Source organism: Homo sapiens, chromosome 21, assembly GCF_000001405.40.
Source record: "Homo sapiens chromosome 21, GRCh38.p14 Primary Assembly".
Classification (NCBI taxonomy): domain Eukaryota; kingdom Metazoa; phylum Chordata; class Mammalia; order Primates; family Hominidae; genus Homo; species Homo sapiens.
Window position 1 is genome coordinate 41,584,393 of NC_000021.9, and position 17,030 is coordinate 41,601,422.

Here is a 17,030-nt window from a genome sequence, read left to right on the forward strand (position 1 = left end):
ACACCACACATACACACACACACCACATACTACACACACCACACATACACACACACCACATACCACACACACCACACATATACACACACACCACATACCACACACATACACACTCCACACACGTATACACAGACCCCACACATGCCACACACATGCCACACACCACACGCACACCCCACACACACACCACATACCACACACACCACACATATACACACACTACATACCACACACATACACCCTCCACACACATATACACACACCCTACGCCACACACACCACACATGCCACTCACACCACATAACACACACACACCCCCACACACACACCACATACCACACACACCACACATATACACACACACCATATACCACACACATACACCCCCCACACACATATACATACACCCCATGCCACACACACACCACACTTGCCACACACATGCCATACACCACACACACACATATCACACACCACACACATATACACACACACCACACATATACACACACACCACATACCACAAACGTACACCCCCACATATACACACACCCCACACTACACACACACCCACACACCACACATACCACACACATGCTGCACACCACACACACGCAGCCCCCCCCACACACCACACAGGCACACACATCCCACACACACACACACCACACACTCCAGACACCCCTCACACACATACACACACCGTACACATACCACACACAAACACCCATATCACACACACACACACACACTGCACACAAACCACACACCCTCACCATACACAAACACACATGTGCCACACACACCACACTCACACACAAACACCACACATACAAACCACACACATGCACGCCATACACACAACCCACAGGCACATACAGACACACCACACATGCACACACCACACAACACACACAAACACCATGTACACTACACGCACATATCCCAGACATACCACATATAAACACAGCACACACACCACACATGCACACCCCACATACACACATACCATACACACACCACATGCACACATGCTCCCCACACAGACACACATACAATACAACTCACACACAACATACACAACACAACACACACACACCCTCACATACACCATACACACATACCACACACACCCCGTGCATACACACATTACACTTGTGCACTACACCCACACACATACACATCCATACACACAAACGTATGACATGTACACATAACCACACGAACCTTACACCCACATCCCACACACATGCCACACACACCACACACACGCGTGTGAAACAGGCCACGCTTGACCAAGACTAAGACGTCATGCATAGTCAGATGCTCCATGATTTTATGCACCTCTAAGCAAAAATGGCAACTGCCAGCTAAGCTACTATACGTCCTCACTTGGAAAATGTAGCCCCAGGGCTGGGCGCAGTGGCTCATGCCAGTAATTCCAACACTTTGGGAGGCCAAGGCGGGCGGATCGCTTGACCCCAGGAGTTCCAGACCAGCCTAGGCAACATGGGGAAACCCCTTCTTTACCAAAAATACAAAAAATTAGCTGAGCATGATGGCATGCACCTGCAATCCCAGCTACTTGGAAGGCTGAGGTGGGAGAATCTCCTGAGCCTAGGAGGCAGAGGTTGCAGTGAGCCAGGATTATACCACTGCACTCCAGCCTGGGCAACAAAGTGAGACCCTGTCTCAAAAAAAAAAAAAAAAAAAAGAAGATGTATCCCAGTGTCACAGATGTAAAAATACAACCTTGGCTCAACGAAATATGGTATTTATTTATCTTTCATTTATGGGGGATGTCATTTTGGAGAGATGAGATTTATACACTGAAATAAATTTTAAAGCCCAGACAATCCATAACGATGAACTGCATGGTTTGGTGTGGGTGATACATGTCATAGGGATTCTGGAGGGAGAAATGTCAGCTGGTGCTAAGAAGGGTCGGGGAGGTTTTTAAACAAAGGTGATCTTAGCAGAGTCCTGAAGATGAAGTCCTGGATGAGAGGAAAGCAAGGAAATGGCATCGTGGAAAATATCCTGAAGGATGTTTCGTGGGGGTTGTCCTGGGCAGCACCATGCTACTGGGAGTGCCACTCACCTGGACAGGTCACCTGGCAGGTGGGCAGCTCTGCACACCACATACCACACACACCACATCCCATCCCATCCCATCCCACCCTCATCCCATCCCACCACTTTTGCTGTGTCCCAGAGGTTTTGACAGGTTGTGTCACTATTATTGTTCGGTTCAAAAAATGTTTTGATTTCTATCTTCATATCATTGTTGACCCAATGTTCATTCAGGAGCAGGTTATTTAATTTGCATGTATTTGCATGGTTTTGAGGGTTCCTTTTGGAGTTGATTTCCAATTTTATTCCACTGTGGTCTGAGAAATTGCTTGATATAATTTCAATTTTCTTAAATTTACTGAGACTTGTTTTGTGGCCTACCATATGGTTTATCTGGAGAATGTCCCATATGCTGATGAATAGAATGTATATGCTGCAGTGATAGAATGTTCTCTAAATATCTGATAGATCCATTTGTTGTAGGGTATAGTTTGAGTCCATTGTTTCTTTGTTGACTTTCTGTCTTGATGACCTGTCTAGTACTGTCAGTGGAGTATTCAAGTTCCCCACTATTACTGTGTTGCTGTCTATCTCATTTCTTAGGTCTAGTAGTAATTGTTTTATAAACTTGGAACCTCCAGCTTTAGGTGCCTATATATTTAGAATTGTGATATTTTCCTGTTGGACTAGTTCTTTTATCATTATGTAATGTCCCTCTTTGTCTTTTTTAACTGCTGTTGCCTTAAAGTGTGTTTTGTCTGATATAAGAATAGCTACTCCTGCTCATTTTGGGTGTCCATTTGCATGGAATATGTTTTTCCACCCCTTTACCTTAAGTTTATGTGAGTCCTTATGTGTTAGGTGAGTCTCCTGAAGACAGAAGAAACTTGGTTGGTGAATTCTTATCCATTCTGCCATTCTGTATCTGTTAAGTGGAGCATTTAGACTAGCATTTACATTCAGTGTTAGTTTTGAGATGTGAGGTACTGTTCAATTCATCATGCTATTTGTTGCCTGAATGCCTTGGTTTTTTTCCATTGGGTTAGTGTTACATAGGTCCTGTGAGATTTTTTTTAAGGAGGTTCTATTTTGGTGTATTTTGAGGATTTGTTTCAAGATTTAGAGCCCCTTTTAGCAGTTTTTGTAGTGCTGGCTTAGTGGTGAATTCTCTCAGCATTTGCTGGAGAAGACTGTATCTTTCCTTCATTTATGAAGCTTAGTTTTGCTGGATACAAAATTCTTGGCTGATAATTGTTTTGTTTAAGGAGGCTACAGATAGGACCCCAATCCCTTCTAGCTTGTAGGGTTTCTGCTGAGAAATCTGCTGTTAATCTGATAGGTTTTCCTTTATAAGTTATCTGATGCTTTTGCCTCACAGCTCGTAAGATTCTTCCCTTCATCTTGACTTTAAATAACCTGATGACTATAGGCCTAGGTGATGAACTTTTTACAATGTATTTTCCAGGTGTTATTTGAGCTTCTTGTATTTGAATGTCTAAATCCCTAGAAAGGTCAGGGAAGTTTTCCTCTATTATTCCCTCAAATAAGTTTTCCAAACTTTTAGATTTCTCTTCTTCCTTGGGAACATCAATTATTCTTAGGGTTGGGCATTTAACATAGTCCCAAACTTCTTGGAGTCTTTGTTCAATTTTTTTATTCTTTTTTATTTGTCTTTGACAAATTGGGTTAATTCAAAAGCCTTGTCTTCAAGCTCTAAGGTTCTTTCTTCTGCTTGTTCAATTCTATTGCTGAGACTTCCCACTGTATTTTGCATTTCTCTAAGTGTGTCCTTGATTTCCAGAAGTTGTGACTGTTTTTTATTTACACTATCTATTTGACTGAAGAATTTTCCTCTCATGTCCTGTATCATGTTTTCAATTTCTTTAAGTTAGACTTCACTTTTCCTTGGTGCCTCCTTGATTAGCTTATAATCGACCTTCTGAATTCTTTTTCCGGCAATTCAGAGATATCTTCTTGGTTTGAATCCATTGTTGGTGAGCTGGTATAACCTTCTGGAGGTGTTAAGTAAACTTGTTTTGTCATATTAAGGGAGGAGACCACCCCTCATATTGTCTTATGCCCAATTTCCGCCTCCAAAGAAAGAAGAAGTAAAAACTAAAAGGCAGAAATGAAATTCACAAGCAGACAGCCCAGCGCCACACCCTGGGCTTGGTAGTTAAAGATCGACCCCTGACCTAATGGGTTATGTTTTCTATAGATAACAGATATTGTATAGAAAAGCACTGTGAAAATCCCTGTCCTGTTCTGTTCCATTCTAATTATCGGTGCATGCAGCCCCCAGTCACGTACCCGCTGCTTGCTCAATTGATCACGGCCCTCTCACGCAGATCCCCTTAGAGTTGTGAGCCCTTAAAAGGGACAGGAATTGCTCACTCAGGGAGCTCGGTTGTTGGAGACATGAGTCTTGCCGAAGCTCCTGACCAAATAAGGCCCTTCCTTCTTTAGCTTGGTGTCTGAGGAGTTTTGTCTGCGGCTTGTCCTGCTACAATATTGCTAGAATTGTTTTTCTGGTTCCTTCTCATTTGGGTAGACTACATCAGAGGGAAGATCTGGGATTCAAGGCTGCTGTTCAGATTCTTTTGTCCCATGGGGTGCTCCCTTGAGGTGGTGTTCTCCCCCTTCCCCTAGGAATGGGGAGAGTCAAACTATAGTGATTGTTGTTGCTCTTCTAGATCTAGCCACACAGCGGAGCTACCAGGCTCCAGGCTGGTACTGGGGAGTGTCTGCAAAGAGCCCTGTGATGTGATCCATCCTCAGGTCTTGCAACTGTAGATACCAACACCTGCCCTGATGGAGTTAGCAGGGGGATGAAGTAGACTCTGTGAGGGTCCTTGGTTGTGTTTTGGTTTAGTGTGCTGGTGTGTTAGTTGCCCTCCAGCCAGAAGGTGGCACTCTCAAGAGTACGTCAGCTGCAGTCCTGTAGGGAGGAAACAAACTAGCCTGAGGTACACCTGGGTATCCCTAAGTATTCAGGTTTCTCAGGCAGTGGGCAGGGCCATAGAGTTCCCAAGAGATTATGACCTTTGTCTTCATCTACCAGGGTGGATAGAGAAAGACCACCAGGTAGAGGTAGGGATAGGCATGTCTGAGCTCAGCCTCTCCTTGGGCAAGACTTGCTGTGGCTGCTGTGGGGGATGGGGGTGTGGTTCCCAGGCCAATGGAGTTATATTCCCAGGGGGATTATGGCCTCCTCTGCCGAGTCATATAGGTCGCCAGGGAAGTGGGGGAAAGCCAGCAGTCGCAGGCCTCACCCTGCTCCCATGCAGCCCACAGTCCTAAAGGCTGGTCTCACTCCCTCCGTGCACTCCCAATAGCAATAAGTCTATTTCCATGCAGCCGGTGACCAGGGCTGAGAACTTGCCCCAGACCATGAGCCTCCCCGCTGAGAAAGCAAGTGGACTCACAGGTTTTCCATGTCCCATGGAGCTTGCAGCGTTGATCCCGTTCCTTCAAAGGGTCTGTGGATTCTCTCAGCTTTCCTGGTATGTTCTTGCGGTAGTTCTTAGAGCAAAAGTTTATGATGTGAGTGTCCACACACTGCTCTGTCTGTCCGAGTGAGAGCTGCAAGCTAGTCCTGCCTCCTATCTGCCATCTGAATCCCCTCTATTTTGCAGAGAGTCCCAAAACCTCAAAAGTAGAGAAGTCAACAGTGCAGCCATCAGTGTGGCTAAAGGCCCAAGAGCCCCTGGCAAACCACTGGTGTAGGTCCAAGAGTCTAACCAAAAGCTAAAGAACTTGGAGTCTGATGTTCGAGGGCAGGAAGCACCCAGCACGGGAGAAAGATGGAGGCCAGAAGACTCAGCAAGTCAAGTCCTTCCACATTCCTCTGCCTGTTTTTATCCTAGCTGCACTGGCAGCTGATGAGATAGTGCCCACCCAGATTGAGGGTGGGTCTACCTCTCCCATCCCACTGACTCAAATGCTAATCTCCTTTGGCGACACTCTCACAGACACACCCAGAAACAATACTTTGCATCCTTCAATCCAATCAAGTTGACACTCAATATTAACCATTACAGTAGCAGATATATAATTTTATATGCACGTGTATATAATTGGAAATCTTTAGAGGTTACTAGGGCAACAAAAATTTTTCAGAAAATTTATAAAAAGACAGAATAAATCATGTGCTTGGCCTTTTCTATAAAAATACCAATTCAGGGCCGGGTGCAATGGCTCACACCTGTAATCCCAGCACCTTGGGAGGCCGAGGCGGGCAGATCACGGGGTCAGGAGATTGAGACCATCCTGGATAACATGATGAAATCCCATCTCTACTAAAAATAGAAAAAATTAGCTGGGTGTGGTGGTGGGCGCCTGTAGTCCCAGCTACTTGGGAGGCTGAGGCAGGAGAATGGCGTGAACCCGGGGGGTGGAGCTTGCAGTGAGCCAAGATCACGCCACTTCACTCCAGCCTGGGTGACAGAACGAGACTCCGTCTCAGAGAAAAAAAAAAAAAAAGCACCAATTCAGGCTAAGTAAATAGATATTGAAGAAAGGTTATTCTTTATAGAAGAATTACAGCTATAAATGTAGAAAGAACAAGAGTTAGAAAATCGCTTTTTTGCAATGCCCAGTGGAATAGTAGTTCTAAGCCATGATTCTCATCGGCTGCTAAACTGAGGGTCGAAAAACTGATGGGGACAGGCCAGCACATCTGAGTCGGGGACAACCTGAACACCCCCATGAGGGAGGTACCCAACACCTCCTGGGATGTCTTCTTGTCCAAAGGATTGAACCTGCGTTTCAGCCCTTCTGTGGATCTCCCATTTTGCAGAAAATACCGACCATAGCGGAAAATTTTACACAACACCTTACAGACACAAACAGGCTAGTCCAGAAGGCAGGAAGCTCCTTAGGACAAATAACAGGATTTCTTCAATAAATAAATGTCAGGAAAGGATGGGGAGAGAATTGCTATAAATTAAAAAGAACTGAGGAGATACACCATCCACTTGCTTCCTATGAGCCTCGAGCCTTGTTTGGATTACAGGTTTGCACCACCACACCCGGCTAATTTTTTAAGTTTTTGTAGAGACAGGGTCTCAGCATGTTGCCCAGGCTGGTCTCTAACTCCTGGGCTTAAGTGATCTTCCCACCTCAGCCTCCCGAAGTGCTGGAATTAGAGGCCTGAGCCAAAGCACCTGTCCCTGTCTTTTTTTTTTTTTTTTCAAAATGGAGCTTGCCTGTTGCCCAGGCTGGAGTGCAGTGGCGTGATCTCGGCTCACTGCAACCTCTACCTCTCAGGTTCAAGTGATTCTCCTGCCTCAGCCTCCCAAGTATCTGGTACTACAGGCGCGTGCCACCACACCTGGCTAATTTTTTGTATTTTTAGTAGAGATGGGGCTTCACCGTGTTAGCCAGGATGGTCTCGATCTCCTGATCCTGTGATCTGCCCGTCTCAGCCTTCCAAAGTGCTGGGATTACAGGTGTAAGCCACCACGCCCAGCCCCCCTGTCTTATTTTATATAAGCAAAACGGGTGGAACATAGATTAGGTATTAGAGAACTGCTGTTCACAGTTACCTGCTGTTAGAGTTTCACACGTGTATAAGTCTTGACAGTATGTACATTAGGTAAGTGTAATAGGTACATGTTTCTCTACACATAGATTTTTATAATGTGCTTATACCTCATCAGTTTGCCCATGTTATAAAATACCTTGCCCTTCTTCTCACATGCACACACAGTTCTACCTCTTTCTTTTTAATGCTCATGTATTATTTCACTATACAGATATGCCAAAATAATATCATTCCTCTATTAACGATCTTCATCTTGTTTCCTTTTGCTGTTGTTCTTGCTATTACAAAGAACATCATCAAAAACACTCTTGTTCATATATTTGTGTGCAAGCATTTCTGTTGGGCTGATTCCTAGGAGAAAATATGTACATACTTTTCTTTTTCTTTTTTTTTTTTAAGATGGAGTCTTGCTCTTGTTGCCCAGTTGGAGTGCAATGGCATAATTTTGGCTCACTGCAACCTCTGCCTCCTGGGTTCAAGAGATTCTCCTGCCTCACCCTCCCAATTAGCTGGGGTTACAGGCACCTGCCACCACACCCAGCTGATTTTTGTATTTTTAGTAGAGACTGTGTTTCACCATGTTGGCTAGGCTGGTCTCGAACTCCTGACCTCAGGTGATCCACCTGCCTTGGCCTCCCAAAGTGCTGGGATCACAGGCGTGAGCCATCGCACCCGGCCTGTACATACTTTTCAAAAGAAGAAGAAATAGGGTCTCTGAATGCTGACCTGCCCGAGGTTGCACGATGAGTAAATAGTATGCAAAGCCAGGCCTATGTGGCACCGAAAGCCGACCATATCTTCCATCTCCCTCATTGCATCCGCACTGGAGACTCTTCCAGACAATGCTATCCATTGACCTCAAAGGCCTTGGGAGGGGCTGCAGCATCCCACTTCACTGACAGCAAATATCCAAAAACTGCAATCGCTGAATCTGGGGATTATGAGCCTCTCCTGTGGTTGAGTGATATTTTTTTAAGTTGTCATCCAGTACATTGATGGAGCCCATAAACCCTCACTCAGCATCTGAACCAGGTCCCCGGCAGTCACAAGGTGGCAGCTGCATGAGAGACAGTGGATGGCAGCAGAATTCCTCTCCAGGGATTGCACTTGGTAACACACACCGGCCACACCCAGGGGCTTCACTGTCGATTCCATCGAATCCAGGACTCTGGAGATGAGAGGACAACGATGTCACTTGAGTAGGTGGCCCCCAGAGAGGCTCGCCTGTCCTGTCCACTTCTAAGGGGCAGTGGGGCTGACCTGAAATAAGAAGCCTTCTTTTTGGTATCTCCCCTGACCTGTTTTGTCTATCTCAGGTGAAGGAGGTGTTGCCTAGCAACTGGAGAAGGGCAATGATGTCCTTGGAATATTCTGTTCCCGTCATTGCGATACTTAACCTGGTTGATCATTAGCACAAAGACTAAGGAGGTGGCAACCTCCTTCCAGAAAAACGAGTTCTGTAAAGTCACCATGGGACCGAGAGGGGACTTCTAGTGTGGCTTTGGGAAGGGGTCTAGCTGGCACCAGATTTTTCGGTTCTCAGAAAGAACCTTTCCGCTGAAGTCGGTAGCATTCCTTGGTCAAGTGGACAATAGGTGTTAAGAAACTCTTTGAAATATGAGCCATGCCATTTACTTTCTATCTAATCTGTAAAACTGCAATGCAAATGTGATATTTGTTGGCATGTCTCTCTGGACTTTTATAGCCTTTTTACTTTGTAAGTATATTAAGCAACAGCAAATAATATCTGTAGGTCCTATGATATAGCATTAATGGGCTTTCTATGTCCTTTTCCATAGAATGTGTTAATCATTTACATTTTAACTAAGGGTTACTGCTGACACCGCGGTAGAAAGACTTCTCAAAGGGCCATTTCTATTACTGGGTAAATAATCCTAGATAAGCCTTTGCTCACCCTGAGACTCAAGTAGCTTGGAAACTTGAAGGTATGCCCTTGGGAAAGTTCGCTTGGCCGCCCTCCTCCCAGAGTAAACCAGCAAAAATAAGAGTGCTTGCTCACACAAAAGAGACTCAGGGTGCTTTCCAAGGGCTCCAAAGCTCATGGTTCTAGGTTTGAGATAGAGCAAGGGTTGTCTTTGCTCAGTGCTACAGGACAAGCCTCAAGGATTTCATCCACCCTGCAAGTCACAATCTCTAAAAAGTGAAGGAAAAGAAGTTACACATATTACTGCTCCCTAGGGAACCACGGTAGAGATGTTGGTGTGATTTCTTTAAATCCTTTTTCTGTAGTGTGTGTGCTGCTGAGTGCTGGGGTAGGGGAAGGAAACTTCCTTATTCTTTTGATAAATTTGTGGCCGTGTTGTTGGTACAACTTGGCATCCTCCTTTTTCATATATGAGCCTTGTTTGTGATATAGACATCTTTGCAGAACAAATTGCAAGGGCGGCAATGATAGGGGAGTGAAAGTAATACTATCCTCACCCATTGCCAAGTTCATGGCTGACACCCCATCACAAAAGACGGATTAACAAGAGAAAAGCATAACAAAGGTATTTAACCGAAGTTTTACATAACACATGAGTCTTCGGATATAGAGAGCCCAAAATACAGGGAAAACTGTATTTTTATGCTTAGATTTAATGAAGAAGGGATAGTCATGTAAAAGTGTAATTGGACCAAGAGAAGGTATGATTTAATCATAATGAACGACAGGGAACTTAGCAAGGCCTGTTTCTTCAGACTCATCTCCAGGGTCTCTGGGTCTTCATTCCTTTCCTCTGGATGTGGGGCAGGACACCTGTCACATGAGAGTCTTCAGGAGAGAAGGAAGGGAGGTCACGGACAGAACTTCCTACTTCTGTGGTTTTCCAGCTTCCTCCAGCTTAAAATACTCAGCATCCCAAAGTGCTGTATTTAGGGGTATCCTGCTCCGGGCCCTGACACAATTGTCCTCCTACTGTGAATCCTGGAGATCATTTGCACAATGCTTCACTATATATTTGCTATATCGAAAACCAAACACTGCATGTTCTCACTCTTAAGTGGGAGTTGAACAATGAGAACACGTGGACACAGGAAGGGGATCATCACACACCGAGGCCTGTCGGGGGGTGGGGGTAAAGCAGAGGGAGAGCATTAGGACAAATACCTAATGCATGCGGGCTTAAAACCTAGATGACAGGATGTTAGGTGCAACAAAGCACCATGGAACACATATACCTATGTAACAAACTTGCGCATTCAGCACATGTATTCCAGAGCTTAAAGTAAAATAAAAAATATGTCAGGTGAGGTGGCTCACGCCTGTAATCCCAGCACTTTGGGAGGCCTAGGTGGGCGGATCACCTGAGGTCAGGAGTTCGAGACTAGCCTGACCAACATAGAGAAACCCTGTCTCTACTAAAAATACAAAATGAGCCAGGCGTGGTGGCATATGCCTGTAATCCCAGCTACCTGGGAGGCTGAGGCAGGAGAATCACTTGAATCCAGGAGGCGGAGGTTGCGGTGAGCTGAGATCGTGCCATTGCACTCCAGCCTGGGCAACAAGAGCGAAACTCCATCTCAAAAATAAATAAATAAAATTAATAATACTACTAATAATTTGCTGTATCAAAGCAAGGAGGAACTCTAAAAATAATGAAAATAACAAACCGGAATTTAAATTCAGGCAACAGCATGTACTACCTCACCAACACTGCAAAGCTCAACTGTTGAAAAAGGTTTTGTCATAAAAAATGATGAGTTCATGTTCCTTTGTAGGGACATGGATGAAATTGGAAATCATCATTCTCAGTAAACTATCGCAAGAACAAAAAACCAAACACCGCATATTCTCACTCATAGGTGGGAATTGAACAATGAGATCACATGGACACAGGAAGGGGAATATCACACTCTGGGGACTGTTGTGGGGTGGGGGGAGGGGGGAGGGATAGCATTGGGAGATATACCTAATGCTAGATGACAAGTTAGTGGGTGCAGCACACCAGCATGGCACATGTATACATATGTAACTAACCTGCACAATATGCACATGTACCCTAAAACTTATAGTATAATAAAAAAAAGAGAAAAAAAAAAAAAGAAAAAGGTTTTGTCTCGAGGTTCCCCACGGCTCACGTCTGCTCCCCTGACGTTTCAGGCTGGTGTTTCTGATCCTTTTCCTGATATTCTAAGATGTCTGACAGGTGTGGACTTTGACTGCTTAGGTCCAATGACCCCAACACTGGGTATAGACGGGATTCCCTGAAGCGGCTTGTCTGTCCTCCTTTTCTCCGGCGGGCTCCAGCTCCCTTCTGGGTGAAATCCTGGCATCTCCATCGTGCTGTCTCTCTGGAGCTATCAACAAACAGCTCTTGATTAATAGCTGTGGCCACAATAACCTTATTTCCACAGAGACAAGGACAGAGCTGCCGGCTCCACACCAACACTGTCAGCCGGGTGTGTGCTTTGGTATCAGGTCTCACCCACCGAGTTGCTGGGGTTGAGTTGTGTCTCCAAAAAGATGTGTTCAAGTTCCAACCCCTGGCGCTGTGCATATGACTTTATTGGAAACAGGATCTTCGCATATATATTCAAGGTAAACTGCAGTGAGACTGGATTAAGGCAGGCCCTGGTTCAGGATGACTGCCGTCCTTATAGGAAGAAGGAAATCTGGACAGAAACACACAGGGAGAGGCCGTTTGAAGATGGAGGCAGAAGCTAGGGTGGTGTGGCCACAAGCCAAGGGGCACCGAGAAGCTGGAAGCAGCAGGAAGGACCCTCCCTCCAGTTTCAGAGCGAGCATGACCCTGCGGACACTTACATCTCAAGCTTGTGGCCCCCACACCAGGAATAAATGTCTGTTGTTTTCAGCTGCTCAGTGCATGGTGTTATATTTGTTACAACAGCCTCGGGAAATTCACACTGGGGTGCTAAAGAGGGAATCTGGGAGCAGCCACTCTGTGACTGCATGCCCTTAACCTAGGCAGTGGGAACCTGACTCCTATTCTCACACTTCTAATAAAGACATACCCAAGGCTGGGTAATTGATAAAGAAAAGAAGTTTAATGGACTCACAGTTCAACATGGCTGGTGAGGCCTCATAATCATGGTAGAAGGTAAAGGAGGAGCAAAAAGGCACGTCTTACATGGTGGCAGGCAAGAGTGCGTGTTCAGGGGAACTGCCCTTTATAAAACCATCAGATCTCATGAGACTTATTCACCATCACAAGAACAGCACGGGAAAAACCCACCTCCATGAGTCAATGACCTCCCATCAGGTCCCTCCTACAACACATGGGGATTACTACAATTAGAGGTGAGATTTGGGATTTGGGTTGGAACCCAGACCCCTGCCTTTTGGGTCTCCTGGGTCTTGGAGGGACAGAGGAGAGTGAAATTCATTGGTCAAGAGTGAACTCCTCAGGGTGCTCCTTCTGGGAACTCCAGCAGGGTGGGCCTGGGAGGGGTCTCCCATCTTCCTTCCTCCCAACTCGGTCAACAGCAGTGCAGTTACTCACCCTCCTACCTTCAACAACTTCTCTCCACTCATCAGAGCAAGCCTGTGGAGCAAGCAGGGACTAGGGTCCCTGCATCTCTGGGCACTGACCCCTGCAGACCCCAGACAAAGTCTCCATGGCTCAACACCAGCAGAACAAGTCCAAGAAAGAGCAGCTTCATCAGGGAGTGGGAACAGCCTGGGCAACTGGCCTGGGAGTGGGCAACATCAGGGAGTGGGCAACTAGCCTGGGAGTGGCTACTCCCCAATTAACCTGGGAGTGGGCAACATCAGGGAGTGGGAACAACAGGGAGTGGGCAACTGGCCTAGCCTGCAGGACACCCTGTGGATGTGCGTGTGTGTGGACACATGTGTGTGCCTGTGTACGTGTGTGTTAGCCTGGCCTGCTGGGTAACATGTGCGTGTGTGTGGACATTTGTGTGTGTGCATGTGTCTTAGCTTGGCCTGCTGGGCCAAGTCCTGTGTACTAAGGCACCTCCTTCCCAGGCCCCAGCTGCCCCGCCTTCATGTCCCACTAGGAACCCACAAGGACAGGATCCTAGACCGTGATGCACTCTGGGATAGGATTCAAACTCACCCCTCGACTCAGGGTCAGGGTGGAGACCCACTGTTGCCATGCCTAGGCCGCAGGAACATGACACACAATGCTGGTTCTGCCCCAGGATGACAGCCTGGGACGTTCCTGGAGTTTGTGCTTTCTGGGTTGGAGGTGGGCGTGGTCGTTGTCTTGGTGTCCCATGCAGCCCTGGGGTATGACAGGAGGAAGGAGAAGATGAAGAGATGACCCTCACCAGGGGTGCCCTCTGGGTACCAAGGTCATCTCCAACCCCAACATGTTTTCTTACCTTCGCCAGTCTAGACTTGCCCTCCATGGGTGTCAGTGGGCACCTACAGTGCAGAGACAGAGGTCAGAGGTTCCCCAGAGCCTAACAGATGGCCAAGGGCATCTCCTTGTCCTGCAGTTACTGTCTGTCAGAGGCTGAATAATGGCTGCCAAAAGATAGTCACATCTGGATACCTGGAACTGTGAATGTGATGTGACATGGCAAAAAAAAAAAAGACTTTGCAGATGTGATTGAGTTAAAGATTTTAAGGTGGGGAAATTATCCCGGATTAGCCAGGTGGGCCCTAAATGGCATTGCAAGAGACCATGTGAGAGGAAGGCAGAGGAAGACTTCACTGCAGAAGAGGAGACAGCGTGGCCATGGAGGCAGAGATGAGGGCAGTGCAGCCACAAGCCCTGGAGAACACTGGTAGCCACCACAAGCTGGGAGGTGTAGGGAAGGACCTTCCCCAGAGCATCCAGAGGGACCGGCCCTGCCCACACCCTGGTTTCAGCCCAGTGAAACTGACTGTGGACGTCTGGCCTCTAGAACTGTGAGGGAATCCGTTTCTACTGTTTTAAACCACCCGTTTTGTGGTCCTTTGTCACCGCTGCTGTAGGGAACTCCTACACCCTCTCCCATCTGGTGGCTGCGAGCCAGCAGAGCTTAGACCTGCACATGAGGCTCTCCGAGTGCACAGCCTGGGGGAGAGCCCCACCGACAGAACCGCCGCTGCCATGTCAACCTCTTGGCTTTCTGGCTCCAAATTCTGTCTCTCGGCTCTTACTTGTTGAACCAGAGCAAGAAACACAGAGAAAACTGACTTCTAAAACATCTGCATCCGTGTGAGGCAGGCAGACCCTTGTACTTGTAACTAACAGAAGAACAGATCCCCAGATGGGGAAAGGACTGATTTATCTGAGACGCTCGGGTGGTCGCCAATGCTAACACCGGTGCACTTCCTCCTGGCATTGTGCAATGTGTTTGTCTTGCGCTTGTGGTTTGTGATGCCTGTGTGCAGGGAGGAGCCCAGACAGGGCACATGGTCATGAGAGTGCCTCGAGAGGTGGCTTGGTCATTGTTTGGCATTTTGTCACCTGTAAACCCAGGCCAAGAGTCAACGTTGGCTGGGTGGCAATGGGGTTGTTATCAAGAATACTGACATGGTTTGGCTCTGTGTCCCCACCCAAATCTCACCTTGTAGCTCCCAAAATTCCCACATGTTGTGGGAGGGGCCCGGTGAAAGATGATTGAATCATGGGGGCGGGTCTTTCCTGTGCGGTTCTTATGATAGTGAATGGGTCTCATGAGATCTGATGGGTTTAAAAATGGGAGTTTCTCTGCACAAGCACTCTCTTTGCCTGCTGCCATCTACATAAGATGTGACTTGCTCCTCCTTGCCTTCCACCATGATTGTGAGGACTCCCCAGACATGTGGACTGTAAGTCCAATAAACCTCTTTCTTTTATAAATTGCCCAGTCTGGGGTATGTCTTTATCAGCAGCGAGAAAACTGACAAATACAAATACCAAGAGTAGCAGCATATCTCCAGAGGGTAGCAGTGTCCAGAATGTGCAAATGGAGTTAGCCTCAGGCCATATCGCCACCTCCACAGCCCAGCATCAGGGAACCACATCTTGGCACCTGCCATTTCCGCAGTGAGAACATCCTTCATCCAGGTTGTTATGTCACCAGCGTCTCCTTCCTTCATAATTGCACCCAATACCACCTTCTTCAGGAAGCCCACTTAGAGCAAACCCCTGCACTTTGAGAAAGGCCAAGATCATGGCTAGTGATCAGATTGAGCCTATGGCATCAAGAGGATGGGGGGTTAGCACCAGGCTCTGCCCTCGTCAGTCCCTTTACCTTCTCTGTGCTACTAGATGTGAGCAGGAAGACCAACAGGATGCACGTCCTGGAGTCAGATGTAATTCACAGAAGGCCTTGAGCACAGGGCTGGCAAACAAGCAGTGCACAGTGGGCATCAGTCATCACCGCTGTGTCCAGCTAACTCCACCCTGAATACTCAGGGCTGGCTGGGTAGCCTCTGGGATGACCCTCGGTGATCGCCTCTCGAAATTTGCTTCCTTGTGTGACTCCTTCTTCATGAGTGGGGCTGGACCTGGTGACTTGCTTCTGATGGACAGAATGCATCAAGAGTAATGGAACATCTCTGCTCTAGGTGTCAAAAACCTCTGACTTCCTTCTTGCGGGACTCTCTCTGTATGGCCTTCTCAGCTTGCTCACTTTGGTAAAGCAACAAGCTGTGTTAGATCCACATGTCGAGGAACTACACAGACAGTCTCTGGCTAACAGCCAGCAAGGAACTGAGACCCTCAGGCTCATAGAACTGGATCCTGCCAGCAACCACTAAGGAGCCTGCAGAGGGCCCCTGCTTGCTTAAAACTTCAGAAGACTGAGGCCACCACCCACTCCCTGGCTTCAACCTGGAGAGAGGCCCTGAAGAAGATTCAGCCGAAGCCGGACACTGTGGCTCATGTCTGTCATCCAAGCACTTTGGGAGGCCAGGGCGGGGAGATTGCTTGGGTCTGGTGCAACATGGCGAATCGCCATCTCTACAAAAAAATACAAAAATTAGCCAGGCGTGGTGGTGCACACCTGTAGTCCCAGCTACTCGGGAGGCTGAGGTCCCAGCCGAATCCCAGCTACTCGGGAGGCGGATCCCTTGTTCAAAAAGCATGAAGACTTTACAGATGGCGACAGCCTCTCGTTGAGCCCAGGAAGAGTCATCTGAGCCGGGGAGGTGGAGGTTGCATTGGGCCAAGACTGAGCTGAGGATGGAGACAGCAGGGCTGGGCTGCTTATCCCTGAAATACAACTGGGCCTGTTCAGAAATAGCTGCTTCACCAAGACCCTCCAAGTGTTCCCCATGGGGCCTTCCCACCATCCAGCAGCTGGAGGGGGAGGTCCTGGCCCGCAGGTGTCCCTGGGAGCCTGCTCCAGCACATGGCAGTGTCCGTCTGGCTGGTGAGTGCAGGGTGCCACAAGTGGTGAGTTATTACGCATCCTACCCTGGTTAAGCAAAACAGCCACAAAAAACATCACCAGCTCTGCCAGCCTGCGATGACCCCCACCCCATGTTAGACATACCCAGTTTGAGAACATC